The sequence below is a fragment of the Homo sapiens genome, chromosome 12, assembly GCF_000001405.40.
Source record: "Homo sapiens chromosome 12, GRCh38.p14 Primary Assembly".
Lineage (NCBI taxonomy): Eukaryota > Metazoa > Chordata > Mammalia > Primates > Hominidae > Homo > Homo sapiens.
Window position 1 is genome coordinate 124,425,141 of NC_000012.12, and position 20,045 is coordinate 124,445,185.

Consider the following 20,045-nt stretch of genomic DNA (forward strand, 5'->3'; position numbering starts at 1 on the left):
GAGACGGGCGGATCACGAGGTCAGGAGATCGAGACCATCCTGGCTAACATGGTGAAACCCCATCTCTACTAAAAATACAAAAAATTAGCCAGGCATGGTGGTGGCCGCCTGTAGTCCCAGCTACTCGGGAGGCTGAGGCAGGAGAATGGCGTGAACCCGGGAGGCAGAGCTTGCAGTGAGCAGAGATTGTGCCATTGTACTCCAGCCTGGGCAACAGAACGAAACTCTGTCTTGAAAAGAAGAAAGAAAAAAAGGAAAAAAAAACCTTATGAGATTTTTTTTGTGATTTTTTTTTTAGCTCATCATGTATCATTAATGTTAGTGTATTTTCTGTGTGGCCCAAGACATTTCTTTTTCCAGTGTGGCCTGGGGAAGCCAAAAGATTAGATTCCCCGGAATTATAGCACACTGTCCCTAAGGCGTGGGGTGGCTCAGCAGGGCCCACGATCTCCTCTGGGGACCCCGGGCCAGGGATGGAGGTCTCCTTCTGCCTGGATGTCACATCGCAGATTCTCACTGTGGGGTTTGGCCCCCTCAGACACAGCTTTTGAGAGAACTCGACTCCCGTCTCTGCTCTGCACAGCCCCCCTCCCTGGCCCCATTCACAAACCATTCCCTATACAGCCTCTCCATTCCAGCTGGAGGAGTCTGAACCCTGCCTCCATTGTGTGCATGCTGTGTGGCCTTTGTGCACTGTCTGAACCTCTCTGAGCCTCCGTGTCATCAGCTGTGTACTGGGGTGGGCCTGGCTGAGCTGTCATAAGGGACAGGAGGGGGAAAATGCATGAAGCTGAGAAGACACAGGCACAGTGATGGGATCACGAACCCACTCAGCCAGCAGCTATTGTCAAAGACAAAACAAAATAGAAACCACCAAAAGCCACTGGCCAGCTGCCGCCCTGCCCAAGGCTGCGGCCCAGCCTCTAAGTCCCTCCTGCCTTGTTCTTCCGACTCGCAGTGCCCCGTCTTACATCCAGCTGCCCTTACACTTTGTACCATATTGAAGTGTGTCCTCTTAAAATTCATGGCCACCCAGAACCTCAGAATGCGGCCTTATTTGGAAACAGGGTCTTTCCAGATGTAATTAGTTGAAGTGAGGTTGTATTGGGTTAGGCTAGACCCTAAATTCAGTGTGACGGGTGTCCTTATAAGAAGAGGAGAAGCACAGAGACAAAGGTCATGTGGGGTCGAAGGCAGAGCATGGAAGGATGCATCTAGAAGCCCCGGAAGGCCAAGGATGCTGGCAGCACCAGCTGGGAAGAGGTCAGGGACAGGCTCTCCCTTACGGCCCCCAGAAAGAACCAACCCCACGAAACACCAGGATTTGGACTTCCGGCCTCCACAACCAGGAGAGAGTAAATCCCTGCGGTTTTAAGCACCCCCCGGCATGCTCATTTGTGGTGGCTGCCGGGAGACAGCGCAGGCCTCAACAGGATGGGGGTGGGGGGCCGGGAGGCCAGGCCAGGTGATGGAGGACTCACTTCTCCCGGAAGGTCTCCTTCTCCTGCTCACTCCACATGTTCATGACCTGGCGGTCTTTGTACACCTTCATGGGGTCGGCCATAAGCCCGTTCATGTTGATGAACTTGATGCGCTGCTGGTCAGCGTCGTACAGCATGGGCGGGATCACGGCCAGCTGGCGCATCTGCTTCTCCAGGTTCTGCAGGGAAACGGAGGGCAGGGTCAGAGGCCCAGGGACGAGGTGCTCCGGCCGGCGCAGGGGACCCAGGGAAGACACAGAGGGGACGGATGGTCTGCGCCAGAGCAGGGAAAACGCGAAACCAAGGAGAAGGAGAATGATGAGTTTAAAAATAATAATAGCTCATGCTGGGGGAAGGGAGAATGTAAAGGCCTCCCCGACAGGTTTATGGTGGGCAGGACTGTAGATTCAATGCAGAGAGCAGCAGCCGCCTTCTCTGCAGTGGGAGGGGAGCCATGAATCTTCCCTTTGGAAATGCAAGCGCCATAAAGCACTGCAGGAAGGATGCTCAGCCCAGCTGGGCCCAGGGAGCCCGGGAGACAGGCTGGCCTTCCAGGTTCCGCAGGCAAGAGTGGGCCCTGGGGTCCAGCTGGCCCCACAGCATGCAGGCAGCCCAGGGGCGCAGAGAGGGTCAGCGCCTCGCTGGTGGAGAGGTCTTTCCTGCCCCCACACTACACGCCCCCTCCCGGCACCCCGCTCCTTCAGAGGGCCCACCTGGGATCTGGCCTGCCCAGCCCTGCATGCGGCAGGAGTCAGGCGGCCGCTCCTAATGCACTGGGATGACTATTAAGAGGCTCTGAGCCGCCACTCAGCTGGGCTCACTTCCCCAAATCTCGCAGCCAGCCAATTACTGGCGATTAATTACCCATCTCCGGAGGTAGGCGAGGACTCCGCGTAGCCAAGGTCAGCCAGTTCAAACGATCCAGCTGCCCGGCCGCCCACATCCAACCTCTTCACTCAATGTGCAGGACTCCCAGCCAGGGGTCAGGTCGGGTGCGGGGCACAGCTCTGACCCCGGGGTGGGAGAGAATCCCCCCAAGAGGCTGGCATCTGTCTCCCAGACCCTTGGAGCTGTCCCCTACACCCCTGATACGGAACGGCGACCTTCCTCGGGTATCCCAGGGATGTAATAATGGCAGGACCCCCGGCACGGCCACAGGCAGGACCTCTGCTCTGCCCTCCCACAGCTGCCTTCCTGTCCTTCCCATGCCGGCCATGTGCTCTGACCACAGGAAGCTCCCAGAAGGATGGGAAGTGCCTGTCCTCCGGCCCAGCCCCCTCCCTTGCACACTCCCGGGGGAACCTCAGGTCACCCCAGGCTGGCTGGGGAAGTTTCTGTCCCAAATTCCACTTCCACCCTTCACCCCGGACACAGCATCCTTGATGTCCCTGAGGACTCTGATGACTGCATTCCCATGTGGCCAGTGTGTGTGTGTGTGTGTGTGTGTGTGTGTGTGTGTGTGTGTGTACATGCAACAATCAGCCCAGGTGCCACACCCTTGGCCATCAGGTGAGGAATGCAGAGGAGAGGGCCACCGGCCTCCTCCTTCCAGTGCAGACTAAACCCACAGCCAGCCTCTCTGCGGGATGTCCATAAGTGCACAGCATCGGTGAGACAGGGGCTGACACGGCCCAGCTCCGGCGCCCAGCCTTCGAGGGCCGGGCCCTGTGGCTGTGCAATGCGATGGCTTTCTGAGCTCTGTTTTCTGTCAACTGGATGTTGTTGTAAACAAAAACGTACCACGAGAAGTTTTAAAATGAAAAATTATGTTTTAATGGCCAGATTCATCTTTGGATTGCCTGCGTCAGAATCAAGTGGGTGGCTGGGTAAAAATGCGGATTCCTGGGCTCTGCCCCAGACCAGCTGAATCAGAGTCTCTGGTGAGAAACTGCTACTTAAACCAGCCGCCCCCTCCCTGGGGCCCCTTCCATCTGTCTAATCTGAGCATCAGCATCGCAGGGCAGCGCGTTCTGTTGTCCAACAGAGCACTCTGCAGCCAGGGAGGTGTTCGCTGTCTGCTCCGCCCAGGAGGGGAGCTGCCAACCACAAGCGGCTGTCGAGCTCTTGAGATGTGTCAGATGCAACCGAGGAACTGAATTGCTAATTTTATCCCATTTTAATTAATTTTGATTTCAATAGCCATGCGTGGCTCTGCTGTGCTGAGCTAAAGGGCTATAATCTCCCATCTGGACAAAAGCTCTCCCTGGACAAAAGTCCCCAGAAGGAAGAAACGTGCCGTGGCTGCCTCGTGTCTGCTGTGGTGTTAGGAGCAGGGGGTAGTCTCATCATGGGTACCTGACCCACAGGACCCGGGAGGGAACAGGCTGACACCAACTTCCTCCCCAGGAGAAAAGGCTGCCTCTCTGCTTCCTGGCCATCTGTGGGCCCCAGTGACGGCAGCCAGGGTCACCTAGGCTGACCCCAGGGTGTCCTGGCACCCCAAAGAGGCCTGAGGGGAAACCGGCCCTGCTCCAGCCAGGAGGGCTGAGGTGCCTGCGAGAAGGTCGTGGCTGCGTGGACAGCTGGCGTGCTGGGAACTCTTCGGCCTGCGCCATGCTCCCCCCACCCTGCCAGGCTCTGGGCCCTGGAAGGCTGACCCTGGAACCCACAGGCACTCCCGCCCCTTGGGCTTCTGGCTGGACTCAGCCAATGGGAAGTTCCAAAAGGAGGCAGGAGATGGGAAGAGTGAGAGGCAGGGTCCTCGTCCCCCAACCCCCTCCCTGTTGTGGCATCTGGATGGGGGAGCGCCAGGGCCCTCCCTGCAGGGGGTCCTGCTACCCTCCCTCTCAGACACATTAACACCCCTCTCTCTGCTCGCCCCTGCAGGCCTGGGACGGGTACCTCAATACCCACCTTGATTCCACCCGCGCTTCGGTGGCAAAGCCCCTCGACGTAAACCACCCGGGAGGTGGTTTCTGGCTAGGGCCTCTGCACCCTCACGGGGGATGCCAGGGAAAAGGAGCTGAGGCCAGAGTCAGGGCCTGGACTCACCTCCTGCTCTGAGAGGCCATCGATGATCTCTGACACCTCGTGCTCGCTGCGGGCGGCCGACATGGACAGCCCACTGCCCCGCTGGCCCACCCTGCTGGGGACCAAGGGGACACACTCAGGACCGGTCTTCTGGTGGTCGGGGACACTAGCAGACCCCTGTGGCGCAGCCCTGAGCCCACGCCCTCCCCAGAGGAGAAGTGTGGGCAGCGGCCAGCAGAGGGGCCGGCCCCACACCCGGGGTCCTGGGGAGGCATGGAGCCCCCACCCCAACCCAGCAAGGCCAAACCCTGTGACATGGGCAGCTCAGTCCCTTCCTCTCTCCTAAAACACCCTGAAAAGCCCAGCTACAAAGATCTGGGTTCAAAGCCCAGCTCTGCCTCTTTGGCCCTGGGCCGAAGTGTTTCTCTCTGTGCCTCAGTTTCCTCCCCTGTCATATGAGGATTCAAAAGTGGCACCTGGCTGCCTAGAGCTGTTGTGGGGAACTTAATGAGACATGGCTTGTGACTTCAGTTAAGGGTGAAAGGTGTTGTTATCATTACCAATGAATCGCCTTATCTGTGCATCCAAAGAAAAATGGCCATAGAACCACAGCTGCCTGTCACCAGGCACCTCTCAGATGGGGCCCACCCAGTCCTCACAGCCACTGGGGGAGGCTGACAGCGTGGTCTCTTAGCCACGTCTCTCCCCTTTGTCCCACACCAGGGATCTCAAACTCAGCTGCCTTCAGGGGTCGTGCAGGCCCCAGAAATGAGTGAAGCTGGCAGGTGCACGCTATGGCACATGGGAAGAAGTGCTTGTCCCCAAAATGTATTTAAGTTCCAAGTAAGTATTAGGCCAAAGAGGCTCCACGTGACACAGGCCAGGGTCTGGTAGGGCCCTGGCCACTGGCCTGAGAAGCTGCTGTGCTGTTCTGTTCCTTCCTGGCCAGGCCATCTCTACTGAGGATGCTGGAGCTGACCCCGGGCCCTGACGTCGGGGGCCCTGGGCTCAGGCCCCGCTCACCTCTGCATGCGCTCCTGCAGCTCGCGCTGCTTGCGGATCTCAGGGAACTGCTTCTCGTAGTACTCGCGCACCTTGCTCTCCTTGGCCCGCCGCCGGGGGTTGTTCTCGATGCGCTCCACCTTCTTCTCCCAGGCCTCCATGAGCTGGTCATAGCGCTGGCAGAACTTCTGCTCCTGGGAGAGCGCAGGGGGCACTGCGGAAGATGCTCCTGCACCTGGCACCCGCCGCCTCCCCCCTGCCCACTCACATGCAGGCAGACACACAGGTGCGTGCGCACACACACAAAGTCACACAGGCACACACATATACAGTCAGATACAGCCACACAGACACATACATACAGGCACACACATACAGTCAGATACACACAGGCACACAAGCACACAGGCACATACAAGTCACACAGGCACACACAAATGCAGTCACACAAACACACATATACTCAGACACAGTCACAGACATGCACATACAGGCACACACATACAGTCAGACAGATATACACAGGCACACACAAGTCACACAGGCAGACACACATGCAGTCACAGACACACACAGATACACAAAGTCACACAGACATGCACACACAGGCACACACACATACAGTCAGACAGATATACACAGGCACACGTACATACAGGCACACACAAGTCACACAGGCAGACACACAGACACACACATACAGTCACAGACACACACAGTCACATACACACATGCAGTCACCCACACGGTACACACACAGTAGACACACAGTCACACAGACAGTCACATGGCAGACACACAGACAGATACACAGGCAGACAGACAGACAGACACACAGTCACACAGGCAGACAGACAGTCATATAGGCAGATACACAGAGAGACACACACACACAGATATATACACAGGCACACATACATACAGTCAGACAGATATACACAGGCACACATACATACAGGCACACACAAGATACACAGAGAGACACACACACACAGATATATGCACAGGCACACATACATACAGTCAGACAGATATACACAGGCACACATACATACAGGCACACACAAGTCACACAGGCAGACACACAGATACACACACATACAGTCACAGACACACACAGTCACATACACACATGCAGTCACCCACACGGTACACACACAGTAGACACACAGTCACACAGTCACATGGCAGACACACAGACAGATACACAGGCAGACAGACAGACAGACACACAGTCACACAGGCAGACAGACAGTCATATAGGCAGATACACAGAGAGACACACACACACACATATATACACAGGCACATAAGTCACACAGCCAGCCAGCCAGACACACAGATGGTCACACAGGCAGACAGACACACAGTCAGTCACACAGGCAGGCAGACACACACACATGGTCATGCAGGCAGACATATGACAGACACACACACAGTCCATCACACAGGCAGGCAGGCAGACACACAGGCGGTCACACAGGCAGGCAGACACACACACACGGTCATCCAGGCAGACATATGACAGACACACACACAGTCGCAGGCAGACAAACAGATGCACACACAGGGTCTCGCAGGCAGACATGATGGACACACATACACAGAGTCACACATGTAGACACACAACAGACACACACACATCACACAGGCAGACGACAGAAAGACAGGCACATAGTTGCATGGCTATCCAGCAGACGGGGGCCCCTGAAGAAAACCCACAGACTTCCCCTGAGGACACGGTCACCTCCCTTCCTGGTGAACCGGCCACCCAGACCTGGCCTCCTCTGCAGAGGCCTGGTCCCAAATGGAAGCCACCCACCATGTGTGGCTCAACTGAAATCACAAATCCAGTAAAATTTAAGAGTCGGGCTCTAGTTCTCCCCAGCCATGCTTCCAGTGTCCAGCAGCCACATGCGGCTGGGGCTCCGGCCGCACCAGACAGCCCGGATGGAGCCCACTGCCACACCACAGGAAGCTGTGCTGTACAACATGCGGGCCCGTCAGCCCTGGGGAGGGGCAGCCGCCAGAGAAAACCACATTCCAAGCAGTTCCTCATTCCCCAGCCTCACCCCAAGGACCAGCTGTGAGGACCCCAGCAGCTCCCAGAGAGGGGGCTCTGCCTTCCCTCCAAGACAAGGAAGTCCCTCTCCACATCTAACCACAGTGCTGCCTGCTGCATGTCCTTTGAGAAGAGATCCCCAATCAGCCCAGAGCATAGCTGCCTGGCTTCCACATCTCCAAGGTGACTTGAGCAAGTGGCGGCGGGGGGCGGGGGGTGGGGGCGGGGAAGGGGACGCAGGGCGAGCCACCCACACAACCCCAGTTACTCCACCTCTAACAGCTGGGGGTGGACAGACGGTGTGATCTGGGAGCCTCCACAAACACCCACTTGGTGCTTCGGTACAGTCAGAAAGCCCCTCTCTGGTCCTGGAGCCCAGACACCTCAGCCCCACCCCACCCCATATTTCAGCTGCTGACCAAGGGCAAGCTGTGCCCTCCATCCTCGACAGCCCCGTGACCATGACGGTCCCCACGAGGTGGCCAGGCTGGTGCTGGGTGGCCCAGAACCTAACCCCATGCATGCAGGCTGTGCCAGGAACGCGCTGGAGATCAAGAGGCAGTTCTGGTGACAGACAACGGCCACACGTGCTCGGGGCAGTGGCTGCTGACAGCCCCAGTGAGGGATGGGGACTGCAGGGACGGCAACAACCAGCCCATGCCACCTCGGCCCCTGTCCAAGAGGCCCCAGGCTCATGGGTGAGAAAAGCTCACCTCAAGCCAGCAGAGGAAAGTCACGTGGTGACTGGTGCAGACCAGCGGGCGGAAGCCAACAGGCCACTGGCCAGCGGGGCCTCAGCCTGTCCACATTGCCGGCAGGGCGCTGGCAAGACGGCCCGGCTCTAGCTGGGTCCCTCGTGGAGTGCACGGGTGGCAAAGGCCTCCAGCAGTAGTGTCCCTGAGGGGACATCCAGACACCTCCATGGCCCCAAGCACTGGGCTCTGCCTTCTGCCCAGAACAAGGAAGTCCCCCTCTGGGTCTAACCACAGTGCCACCTGCTGTAGCCTGTGCCTATGTCCACTGTGCTGGGTGTGCATTCGGTCTGCCTCGGACAGCGCAGGGCGGGCAGCTCCGGCCTGGCCTGGGTAGCAGGGAAGATGCTCACTGGCATTTTTCTACAAGGGCAGACCCACTGGCCAGGGGAGGAAACAGATCCCTTCCTCCCTTCCCTCCCTCCCTCTCTCTGTCTTACACACACACACACACACACACACACACACACACACACACACACACACACACACGCACACACACACACAGGGAAAGACTGGAGCCGTCCCCCTCCCGCCCCCCACCCCCGCCAGCTAGTCTGCGGGGTGCTAGGAGCGCAAATCCACTAGGGAGAAGAAGCAGGCCAGCCATGCCTCTGGGACCACAGGCTGAGCCAGTCTCTCAGCCAACTGGGCCTCCAGAGGGTCCAGCTCAGCTTCCCAGGAGATGTGGCAGGCTTGGGGGGCTGTGCTGGTGCTGAGGATCCCATGACAGGGACGAGGCCCTGCTCTCTGGGAAGAGGTATGGGGGTCCCCAGGAACCTGCTAAGGTGTGGGGGTCCCAGGGTCTGAGGGGGGTCTGACTCCCCAGTGGGGGTGAGGCAGGCACATCAGAGTTCTCGGCCAAGCCCCCCTCCCCAGGCCTTACTGAAATCAATGAAGTCAGGGACTTCGGCTTCTTATACCACAACAAAGAGACCATCCCAATCGCCACCGCAGCTTCAGGGGGTGTTGAATTTGTTTCCATCCCTCCTAAGATGGGCCACAAAGCCACACCGGACCCTTCTTGGAAGTCCTTGGTTTCTGCCTGCCTCTTCTCTAGCTTTAAATAAGCCAATTTCTCCCTCCACCCCCTCCACAGACCCCCCAAGGAGCCACTGGCGATCTTTAAAGAACTCAAGCCCACCCCAACTCCACCTCCAGCCTGAGCTCCTTCCAGCAGCTGCAGCGATCCTTTTAAATGGAAATCAGATCCTCTCCTGCCCTCCCGAGAGGAGCCTTCACCCCAAGGGGGGAACCATGGGGGGCTGTCAAGGAGGCGGCAAGATCGCGCTGAATTGGCAGTCATTTTAGGTGAAAATGAGAGGATTTCCTTCCTCGCAGGAGACAGAGGGGGAGTATTTATTAGGGGTGAAGGTCGGCACCTCTGCACCTATTTTCCAATAGTGCAACAACAAACATGTTATACACACAGAGCAAATACAAGGCAATGGTAACCGTGGCTGATTCTAGGTGGTGGGTATATAGATGTGCCTTGTACTCTTCTGTCAAATTTCTTAGAATAAGGACTTTGGATTCTTTACTACAAATACATGTATTAAGAATAAATTCGGTGTCCCACTGCATTCGGAATAAAACCTGAATGTTCCATCCTAGCCTGAGGGCAGATGTTTCCACGCGACCTGGCTCCTGCTGCTGGCCTGCCAGGTTCTGTCCCAAGCTGGTTCCTGCCTCAGGGCCTCTGCACTTGCTATGCCCTCTGCCTGACACCCTGACTCCCAGATCCGCACAAAGCCAGTCCTTTCTGGTCATTCCCACCTCAGCACTGAGGTCCCCAGCCCATCTCGAGAGTCTAGCCCTCTGTGCAGCTCTTCTCCCCAGATTACCGGTCTGTTTCCTGGCCTGTGACTCCCGGGCACCCAGCAGCCCTGTGTGGGTATCTCTTAACTTGATAAACAGATTGGACGCTCGTTTCAAGAGCCTCTCGCACCAGCCCAAGTGCCTGTGGGCACCATCCAGTCAAGGTGGGGGATCTGAGGAAGCTGGGCAAGGCACTGCTGGGCAGCCCACCTCTCCTCACCTATGAGCAGGGCTTGGGTCCCGAGGGCTGCCCGCAGCTTCCCAGGCACCAGCATCTGGCTGGAAGTGTCTCCTCCCTCTAGTACCCAACCAAGTTCGGGGCCAGAGCAGGCAGGCAGGGCCAAGGGAAGACCCTCCTCCCATATAGCACAGCCCCTCCTTCCAAAGCCAGGACCTCCTGCCCCAGCTAAGCCCCTCACCTGGCCCCACGTGCCCACACACCTGCCCAGGACCCCATGCCTGCCCAGGGTCCCCCTCCCCAGGCACTGCTCAGCCCCACCATGTGGCCGCTCACCACACCACCATACCCCACACACCCTCCTGGACTCTCTCGGAACTGCCCCTTGGGGGTTCAGAGCATGGGCTCAGGAACCAGGTGGTCTGGGTTCAAATCTCAGCTCCACCACTTCCCAGCTGTGTGACCTAGGGCAAGTTACTTAACCTCTCTGTGCCTCGATTTCCTCCTCTGAAACATGTGGCTGACCAAGCGCCCACCTCGCAGGACTAAATGCCCTAATGTATGGAGAGCACTCAGAAGAGCGCCTGCAACACAACAGGCACCGGAAGGGCAGGGTGTGCGGGCATCCTCCTCGTCCTTACGCACGACCTGTCCCTGCAGCCTGCAGGTCTGAGGACAGGGCCCGTGTCACAGCAACTGCGAGCCTCACACACAGTAGGTGCTCCGTGACTACTGGCATCCAGGCCCCAAAGGCACTGGATCAGCTAACACCCTGTCCCGGCCCATTTCAGTTCAAGCAGGACTTGGTCATCACCTACTGTGTACCACAGACCTACAGGCGCTGGGCATGACTGAGCCAGGCCTGCGCCTGGGAGGGCCTCTCTGGAGGCCCAGAAAGGATACAGGGAGCTGCCTCGCAGGCCCTGCCTCAACACAGCTGAGGGAGAGAGGAGGTGGGGCAGGGGGCTGCAGGTATGAGGGGAGCCCCTCCAGCCTCCAGCAAACCTAGTTCCCAGCCCTTGCCGCGTCTCTTATCCAAGAATCCCAAGGCAGCAGTCCCCATCCAGCCCGCCTCTTCCCCAGGTGGGGACCTTTTCAGGGCCTCCCCAGCCTTATCCCATTCCCTACCATGTCCCAGCAGCCCCGTGGCTTGGGTGGAGTCAATGACATCATCCCCAACTGTAGAGAAAGTCCCATGAGCCAAAACCAGGCAGCCTCACTCCATCTCCCCGGCATCAGCCACTGGTTCACAGGACGCAGGCCCTCTCCTGGCCTAATCAGAGCATCTGTGATACCATCCGAGAAAGCACAGCTCTCTCCGGCTCCCACCTGCTATGGGAATTCAGGTTCAGTTTGTCAATGTTCTAACATAAGGAGTTGAAAAAACTGCACAGGAATGAAGGGGCTGGGTGCAGTGCTCACACCTGTGATCCCAGCGCTTTGGGAGGCCGAGGCGGGTGCATCACCTGAGGTCGGGAGTTCAAGACCAGCCTGGTCAATGGAGTGAAACCTTCTCTACTAAAAATACAAAAATTAGCCGGGCTTGGTGGCGGGCGCCTGTAATCCCAGCTACTTGGGAGGCTGAGGCAGGAGAATTGCTTGAACCCGAGAGGCGGAGGCTGCAGTGAGTAGAGACCCTGCCACTGCACTCCAACCTGGGTGACAGAGCGAAACTCCATCTCAAAAATAAATAATAAATAAATAAACAAATAAAATGAAATGAAATGTAATGAAATGAAATGAAGGCAAGACTTGAGTTGAAAGACTATTCCTGCCATCTACACCCAACAGACATTTCCAGCTACAGCCATTCCTTTCCTGTTGAAGCCCATCTGAGTCCGCGCTTCTTCCCCTGACAGCTGGGAGAATACTCAACCCTGATCTCCTCCGGGGAATGGGTGATGGCCACGGCCGCCTGAAACCACCACCACATGCCTCTGGCAGACCCAGCCTCCCCGCCGTGGGCTGAGATCCACAGCCTACAGTGAGAAGCAGGAATCAGCATCCTTTTCTGTTTGGATGAGGCCACTGGCCACAAATGCAGGCTCAGGGAAAGGGGGCTCAATGCTTGTCCACTGTCTCAGTTTCCCTGAGCCTGGACCTGGGCCCAGTGCACCAGGAAAGGCTCATTTGTAAGGGTGCGCCTGCGGCCCCTGCTGCCCGGCACACAGCCCACCCTGATCCTCCACCTCTCTCCAAAACCTCTCTTTCTGCCTGAAAAGCCCAGGACAGGTCCCGTGACCAGGGCTTAGCAACTAATTTTCCAGGCCAACATTTTGCTTTCTTCCCTTCCAGGCTGGAAGAGGGGCCATAGAGCCCCCCCACCCCCACCCACCCTGGGGCCTTCTGGAAGCAGCTGTTGTCTTTCCTCCTTTCCTGGCCGGCCTTGGCTTTTCCTCCGCAGCCTGGACACTCAGGGAGGACACAGCTGCGGAACTGACAGGGCCCCGGCAGGTGTGGCCCCCTGTGCGCTCGATTCTCCCCAGATCTCAAGGAAAGCTGATGGGGGCCACGGTGTGGACTTACCCATTGTTTCCGAGCGTGATTCCTCCTCTTGAAGTACAAGATTAGCTTCTTCCGCATCGCCTGGTTTCTGTGCAGGAGGGAAGCGGCAGACAGGTCAGCCCGGCCGGGCTCAGGCGCTGCACCCCGTGCCATCCTGTTTGCTGAGAGTGAGCCCCAAATTTGCCCCGTTATTGGTTCTCAGGGAGATGAGACCCACCCGTGCTGTATCCCCAGAGAGACCTGTGAGCTGCCAACGTGCATCCTTACTCCCCCGCGCGCGAGGCAGCCCCCGCCAACGTTTAGGTTGAGCCCAGTGTGCAGGCAAGAGGGTTCCCAGAGCCGAGGGGCCTGTGGCTTCCCGCCCCCGCCCACATGCACCCCGGCAGCCACATCTGCCCACGGAAAGATGGCCACGGAGAAACAGCCACAGCCTCCAACTAGGAATACAGGCCACAGAGCCCGAGACCCCGAGACCTGCTGCCGCCCACAGGCCGGGTGTCAGAGTGTGGCCTGTGTGGCCCCAGGATTGGCTCCAACCAGGTGCTGTGCATGGACCTCCAGCACACCCAGTCCTGCTGCGGGGGGAGGGACACAAGCAGTGTGGGGCAGCTGGTGGGGCCACCAGGCATGGACTTCAGGAAACCCCCGGGCGGGGGCGGTCTCAGACTTCAGGGCAGGGCCCATGGGGTCTCAACCAAGCAGGTTACACACACCACTGCAGGCTCCAAGAGAAGGAGGCACGTCCTGGGAGACGGGAGTTTCAGAGAGAGAGAGGGAGACAGAGACCCAGAAAGAGAGGGAGACAGAGACCCAGAGAGACAGGGAAACAGAGAACCAGAGAGAGAGAGAGAGACAGAGACCCAGAGAGACAGAGAGAGAGAGAGAGAGAGAGAGAGAGAGACGGAGACCCAGAGAGAGGGAGACAGAGACCCAGAGACAGAGGGAGACAGAGACCCAGAGACAGAGGAAGACAGAGACCCAGAGAGAGGGAGACAGAGACCCAGAGAGAGAGAGACGGAGACCCAGAGACAGAGGGAGAGAGAGACCCAGAGACAGAGGGAGACAGAGACCCAGAGAGAGAGAGATGGAGACCCTGAGACAGAGGGAGACAGAGACCCAGAGAGAGAGAGATGGAGACCCTGAGACAGAGGGAGACAGAGACCCAGAGAGAGAAACAGAGACCCAGAGACAGAGGGAGAGACAGAGACCCAGAGACAGAGACCCAGAGACAGAGGGAGACAGAAACCCAGAGAGAGGGAAACAGAGACCCAGAGAGAGAGAGACGGAGACCCAGAGACAGAGGGAGACAGAGACCCAGAGACAGAGGGAGACAGAGACCCAGAGAGAGAGAGATGGAGACCCTGAGACAGAGGGAGAGAGAGACCCAGAGAGAGAGAGACAGAGACCCAGAGACAGAGGGAGAGACAGAGACCCAGAGAGAGAGGGAGACAGAGACCCGGAGACAGAGGGAGACAGAGACCCAGAGACAGAGGGAGACAGAGACCCAGAGAGAGAGAGAGAGAGACAGAGACCCAGAGAGGGAAACAGGGACCCAGAGAGAGGGAGACAGAGACCCAGAGAAAGAGGGAAACAGAGACCCAGAGAGAGAGAGACGGAGACAGAGACCCAGAGAGGGAAACAGGGACCCAGAGAGAGGGAGACAGACAGGGAGACAGAGGTGAGAAAGAGACAGAGACTGGGAGAAGGGGAGACACAGAGACGGAGATAGATAGACAGATGAGATCCAAGAAAGGACAGAGACCTGGAGATGGACAGGAGATGAGACTGAGAGGTGAGACTGGAGTGAGAGAGATGAGAAAGAGAGGATCAGAGAGAGAGAGAGAGGCAGTCACAGAGAGACAAGATCCAAAGGAAGGGGACAGAGACTCAGAGGAAGATGAAACTAGGAGAGGGAAAGAGAGAGAAGTGGGGAGAGGGAAAGAGACAAGACCCGAAGAAAGGGGACAGGGACCCTGAGACAGGCAAAGGGAGGGAGCCCTGGAGAGTAGAGGCGGGAGGTTCTGGAGCCCACGCCATGAGGGCTGGAAGACACCCCCACCCACTGCTGCACCGAGACCCCAGGACCGTCCTCTTCTCTTCCCAGGCCCCTCCCCACGGTCTCCAACACACAAAGCAGGGTGCTGCAGCTGGCCTCCCAGGGCCTGGGGGGCCACAGCGACCTCAGGAGCCTGCTGTGCACCTTAACTTGCTGTCTGTCCCCAATCCGCGGCATTCAGTGGCACCCGCTTTTCTGGGGAGGGGATCCCCAACTTTTTCATATTCTCAGCAGTGTCCAAACCCCCTCAAAAGTTCCAAAGCTACTGACTGGGAGCCACGCTATGTCCAGCCCCCGGGACCCCAGCCCCATTGGAAACAGGAAAAGGAGGGAACCCCAGGCTCTGACGGACGAGTGAAGCCTCATGGGGCTCAAGGGCCTGGAATCCACCTCAGTCCCCGGGTCATTCTGGTGGTGACTTGGCCAGGGCCTCCCCACCTTCCATCAGTCTGGCCGCCGCCCCCCGGCCAGGGTGGGCCATGGGGGTCCTCAGTCCCACAGGCTAGGACCAGCACCCTTCATCTCATAACAGGGTGTCTCTGAGCACACCTCAGAAGCCCTCAGTTTCCTCATCTGAAATCTATGGCATCGCAGCCTCATCTTCTGTTATTCAATAACTGTTTACTGAGCATCTACTATGTGCCAGGCACTGTTCCAGGTGCTGGGGACACAGCAGGGAGCAAGACACAGTTGAGGGCTCTCACAGAGGTGACACTGACAATAAGCAAGATGACCAAGATAATCCTGGATTTGGGAACTTAAATGGAATGGTGGGCTAGTGGGTGCTGGGGGACGGGGTGTGAGGGGCTATTTTAGATTCCGTGGTGCAGAAAGATCTCCCAGAGAGGATGGCCTTGAGCTGGGATCTACGTCATCAGAAGGACCCGGCTCTGGGAAGATCCAGAAGGAAGGGAACTCCAGCTGGAGGGCACCGCAGGAGACAGGAACAAACTCTGTGTATCGGAAGCACAGACAGAGGAAGGCCCTGTGGCTGGACAGTGCTGGGGAGGGGCAGAGAGGACGGAGGAGGGGCTGTGAGCAAGACTGGCAGGGCCAGTCCTGCAGGGTCCTGTGAGTTTCGACATGGCAAAGGGTTTGGTCTTTTATGCAAAAGACAGCTGTGAAGGCCTAGAAGCAGTGAAGGCCCAGGCGCCATGAGCACAGCAGCACCCATATCTCAGCAAAGACCATCCTCCAATCCCAGAAACCGCGCTGCCCGGGCCATGGCTGATTCCAGCGCTCGGCCAGGAAGTATGCAAGAAGAGCCCAGAGTGACTTTAAGTCAAGAATTGCCAAAAACAAAAGAAAACAAAAGTCAAAAGGACACAGAACCCAGCCTGAAGGTTTCCGGCTGCCAGAGCTGGAACAATGTGAGTGACAACAGAAATAACCCTGGGACTAGATTAGCGTCCCAGGAATAAAACAAATCCCCACGAGTCCATGTGATTACAAACAAATGATTCAATACATCAATACATGGAGGAGAAGGGACAGATCTTTCTTCTAGAGTTCCAATGAATAAATGTCCAAGAGAGGAGGGAAACAGAAAATCGTCATTAGAACGCAGTAATAACCCAACCACCGCTGGCAAGATCCGGGGATGAATGCTAAATTGGTTGGCAAAATTTTAAGGAGCAACAGGAAATTTGCACAGTCTCAAAGAATCTCCCCGCAAGTATGTATGAATCATGGCGGTGGCTCCACAAATCTATATTCCTCCCTCCAGGAGGCGGAGCTTAACTCCCCTGCCCTGGAAGATGGGTGGGACTTGGTGACTCCCTAGTAAAGAACAGAGCAAAGGAGGGATAACTCTAAGGCGACAGCGGAGACCTAGGGCAGAGCCCCCTATCATGTGGGCATCACGCAGCCCCCTTACCTCTCTCTGGTCTTCCCCAAAACCCACCATCCCAGTCTTACCAGGAGGAAACACCTGTCAAAGAAAGCCATGACCAGTGATCTTCAAAAGTGCTGGGGTGGTGAAAAACAAGGCAAGGCTGAGAAGCCGTCACGGGCTGGAGACTAAAGAGACACGAGCACAAATGTCACGTGAGAACCTGAATCAGATCCTGGACCAGAAAACAGACGTTGGCGGAGAGACGGGTGAAAATGCAAAGACAGCTGGTAGTTTAGCAGAGGGTCATGTGCCACTATTTCTTTCTTAGTATTTTGTTTTGTTTTGTTTTGATTTTTGTTTTTAGAGACAGGGTCTTACTCTGTCTCCCAGGCGGGAGTGCAGTGGCTCGATCATGGCTCACTGCATCCTTGAACTCCTGGGCTCAAGCAATCCTCCTGCCTCAGCCTCCTGAGTAGCTGGAACTACAGGTACATGCCACCATACTTGGCTAATTTATTTTTTGGTAGAGATGAGGTCTTGCTTTGTTGCCCAGCTCGTCTCCAACTCCTAGCCTCAAGTGATCCTCCCACCTTGGCCTCCCAAAGTGCTGGGATGACAGGCGTGGGCCACCATGGCAGGCCCTAGTTGTGGTAAGTGTTTCTCTGCTGTTATATAAGCTGTCCACATGAGGGGTGCCAGGTGACGTGTGTGGGGGAACTCTGTGGAGCGTATTTGCAACTCTTCTGTTGCACAACGTACAATCTAGTTACTTCAAAATAAATAGTTCCACCTTCTCACAAAAGAAGAGAGATAGAATCCACTTTGAAACACCGTGGTGAAGACCATACAAAATTGACTTTGGGGTTTGCAGGTGGTACACTGCCTAGTACAGGTGGGAATGTCACCCCCAACCCCAACTACAAAAAAACTGATATGTGTAAAGTCCTAAGCCCCAGCACCTCAAAACATGACCTCATTTGGAAACAGAGTCTTTAGAGCGAGAAGCAAGTTAGAATGAGGTTACTGGGGTGGGCCCTAATCCAATGACTTATGAAAAGGGGAAATTTGGACAAAAAGACAGACACACACGGAGGGGAGATGACGCGAACAGACACGGGAAGAACACCACACGAATACAAAAGACGGGAGTGACGCATCTCCCAGCCAAGGAACGCCAAGGAGGCCGGCAGCCGCCAGGAGCTGGAACCGGCAAGGAAGCAGCCTCCCCCAGAGCCTTCTAGAGAATGTGGTCCTGCAGCACCTTGATTTCCAACTGCTGGCCTCCAGTACTGTGAGAGAAGAAAGTTCCTGCCATTTTCAGCTGCCCGGTTCACGGCCGAGTGTTAAGGCAGCGCTGAGAAGCTAGTCCGGCGTGTGATCTTCCACAAACCGCGGTGCTGTCACTGCAGCTGGAAAACGACTCGGTGAGCATGAGGCCTCGGGGTGGTGGTGATGTGCATGCAGCCGTCTGTTTGCCACCGATGGGCAGCAACTGAGGGTGTGAATCCACCCTGGCTGATCCAGGTTTCCTCCCAAAGCAAGGACACTGCCTGCCACCCAGAGACATCCACGTACCACGCAAGAGGACACGTCAAGTCTGCAAACACATGTCAAGTCCGCAGGGTGCAAACTGCACAGTGCACAGGCCAGAGACAGCCTCTGAGGGTGTTGTGTTGGGCTGTGGTGCTTTATTTATTTATTTTTTATTTTTTATTTTTTTGAGATGGAGTCTCTTGCTCTGTCACCTAGGCTGGAGTGCAGTGGCGCAATCTCGGCTCACTGCAACCTCTGCCTCCCGGGTTCAAGTGATTGTCCTGCCTCAGCCTCCCAAGTAACTGGGGCTATAGGCACGTGCCACTACGCCCAGCTAATTTTCGTATTTTTAGTAGAGACGGGGTTTCACTATATTGGCCAGGCTGATCTCAAACTCCTGACCTCATGATCTGCCTGCCTCAGCCTCCCAAAGTGCTGGGATTACAGGTGTGAGCCACCGCACCCGGCTGGTGCTTTCTAAAATCCTAAATTCATTGCCAGCACTGAAAACCAGAGGCTGTTACACAAAAAGCCAAACCTAAAGCTTCTCTTGAAAACATCAGGCCATCGGGCCACACCCCTTCATGGCCACAGGCTGGGAAACTGAGGCTTGGCTGCTCCTTTCAAAGGTCGCCCAGCTCCCCGTTCCTCAGCCCCTACTACTCCCTATTGCCTCACACCAGCCCTCCTCACTCAAACCTTCCTTCCCGCTCCTGGAGGCAGCCACCTGGGGGACTCCTGGTTTATGATGCCCACGTGTTCAACATTCCTCTGGCAAACGTTTTTTTAAGTGTTTATTTTGTTCCAAGCAGTGTTTAGGCAATGAAGATGCAAATAGCTTACTGCAGACAAATCTTTTCTGCTGAGCTTCTGTCCGGCAAGCATAAGGACCACAGTCTGTAGGAGGGCTCTGGAGGCATGGGGTAAGCAGCATGTGATGAGTTTGCTGGTAGAGGCACTCATGGGGTGCAAAGAAGTCAGGGTTTAAAAACACACACCCTATAAGGAAACCTAGTCTTGCCATCTGCCAGGGCACTGGAGAGGAGAAGCAGGACATAGGAGGGCAGGATAAGGAGGCAGGAATTATGAGAGTATTCCAGGGGAGTCCGGTTGGACCCTAGCTGGGACTGGTCCTGGGGTTTATGGGGTACTGGAAAAGGAAAGCTTGGGGGCAATCAGGGGAGGCTTCCTGGAGGAAGGGAGGTTTGAGCTGAGGCCTGAGAGAAGCAGAGGAATGCGGTGGGAAGAAGAAAATGAGCAGAGCCCTGGGTTCTAGGGAGGGAGGCAGCAATAGTGAATCTGGAGAGGGCAGAAGGGGTGCTCAGGGAGAGCCTGACCCCGGCTGCAGGGGAGAGGAAGAGGGAGGCAGATATGCAGGGCCCGGATACCTTGGGAAGAGACTGCGGGTTGGGGTGATGGTCTGAACCTCCTGATCACTGAGCGCCAACCAAAAGCTGTGACAGTGCCAAACAATGTGATGTGACTTGTCTAAGGTCACCCAGGTAGGGAGGGGCAGGGCCTGGAGTAGAGACCCAGGAGAGGAAGTTGGCTGGATGTGCAGTTAGGACTGGTCTAGGAATTTGTCTGTGTGACCCTGGGGGAGTCATCTGATGTCTCTGAACAAGACCAGAGAGACCTGCTAAGAGTAACCTGGGTTCTGACTGATCCCCCTTTCCGCCTGCACAGCCCCGGGTCTGACAGTTCCCATCAGCCGACCCCCAAATGAGGCAGCAGGAGGGAAGAAATCAGGCTGCGAAAAGAGAAAAACGAGCAACGGAAGAAACCGGCTTCCAGGCCTGAGGGGGCCGGTGAACCAGGGCAACCCCCGGGCAGGCAGAGGCAGAATGTGCCTGA

General features: G+C 56.6%; 1 protein-coding gene across 3 annotated transcripts in view, besides 7 other annotated features; it reads right to left on the bottom strand.

The window, feature by feature from the left end:
* Nucleotides 1-20,045, bottom strand: part of NCOR2 (nuclear receptor corepressor 2) — a 243,198-nt gene that overhangs the window by 100,726 nt on the left and 122,427 nt on the right. For 2 of the 3 annotated variants that reach the window (NM_001077261.4, NM_001206654.2), the window contains exons 10-13: nt 12,790-12,856; nt 5,475-5,647; nt 4,473-4,563; nt 1,482-1,660 (exon numbers count right to left, since the gene is read on the bottom strand). In NM_001077261.4, coding sequence (NP_001070729.2) covers nt 1,482-1,660; nt 4,473-4,563; nt 5,475-5,647; nt 12,790-12,856 — 510 coding nt within the window. Of the gene's footprint in view, nt 1-1,481; nt 1,661-4,472; nt 4,567-5,474; nt 5,648-12,789; nt 12,857-20,045 lie in introns of all 3 variants that reach the window. The other variant, NM_006312.6, reaches the window with a different exon arrangement.
* Nucleotides 2,149-2,688: an enhancer, noted in NCBI's record as "H3K4me1 hESC enhancer chr12:124911835-124912374 (GRCh37/hg19 assembly coordinates)". NCBI's record gives its function as "activates a minimal SCP1, AML or CMV promoter by ChIP-STARR-seq in primed H9 embryonic stem cells {active_cell/tissue: H9 hESC(primed)}" and the evidence as "EXISTENCE:reporter gene assay evidence [ECO:0000049][PMID:30033119]".
* Nucleotides 2,689-3,227: an enhancer, noted in NCBI's record as "H3K4me1 hESC enhancer chr12:124912375-124912913 (GRCh37/hg19 assembly coordinates)". NCBI's record gives its function as "activates a minimal SCP1, AML or CMV promoter by ChIP-STARR-seq in primed H9 embryonic stem cells {active_cell/tissue: H9 hESC(primed)}" and the evidence as "EXISTENCE:reporter gene assay evidence [ECO:0000049][PMID:30033119]".
* Nucleotides 7,429-8,036: an enhancer, noted in NCBI's record as "H3K27ac-H3K4me1 hESC enhancer chr12:124917115-124917722 (GRCh37/hg19 assembly coordinates)". NCBI's record gives its function as "activates a minimal SCP1, AML or CMV promoter by ChIP-STARR-seq in naive and primed H9 embryonic stem cells {active_cell/tissue: H9 hESC(naive and primed)}" and the evidence as "EXISTENCE:reporter gene assay evidence [ECO:0000049][PMID:30033119]".
* Nucleotides 8,037-8,644: an enhancer, noted in NCBI's record as "H3K27ac-H3K4me1 hESC enhancer chr12:124917723-124918330 (GRCh37/hg19 assembly coordinates)". NCBI's record gives its function as "activates a minimal SCP1, AML or CMV promoter by ChIP-STARR-seq in naive H9 embryonic stem cells {active_cell/tissue: H9 hESC(naive)}" and the evidence as "EXISTENCE:reporter gene assay evidence [ECO:0000049][PMID:30033119]".
* Nucleotides 13,347-13,446: an enhancer, noted in NCBI's record as "active region_7285". NCBI's record gives its function as "activates an Ori minimal core promoter by ATAC-STARR-seq in GM12878 lymphoblastoid cells {active_cell/tissue: GM12878}" and the evidence as "EXISTENCE:reporter gene assay evidence [ECO:0000049][PMID:35858748]".
* Nucleotides 14,321-15,040: an enhancer, noted in NCBI's record as "H3K27ac-H3K4me1 hESC enhancer chr12:124924007-124924726 (GRCh37/hg19 assembly coordinates)". NCBI's record gives its function as "activates a minimal SCP1, AML or CMV promoter by ChIP-STARR-seq in naive H9 embryonic stem cells {active_cell/tissue: H9 hESC(naive)}" and the evidence as "EXISTENCE:reporter gene assay evidence [ECO:0000049][PMID:30033119]".
* Nucleotides 15,041-15,761: an enhancer, noted in NCBI's record as "H3K4me1 hESC enhancer chr12:124924727-124925447 (GRCh37/hg19 assembly coordinates)". NCBI's record gives its function as "activates a minimal SCP1, AML or CMV promoter by ChIP-STARR-seq in naive H9 embryonic stem cells {active_cell/tissue: H9 hESC(naive)}" and the evidence as "EXISTENCE:reporter gene assay evidence [ECO:0000049][PMID:30033119]".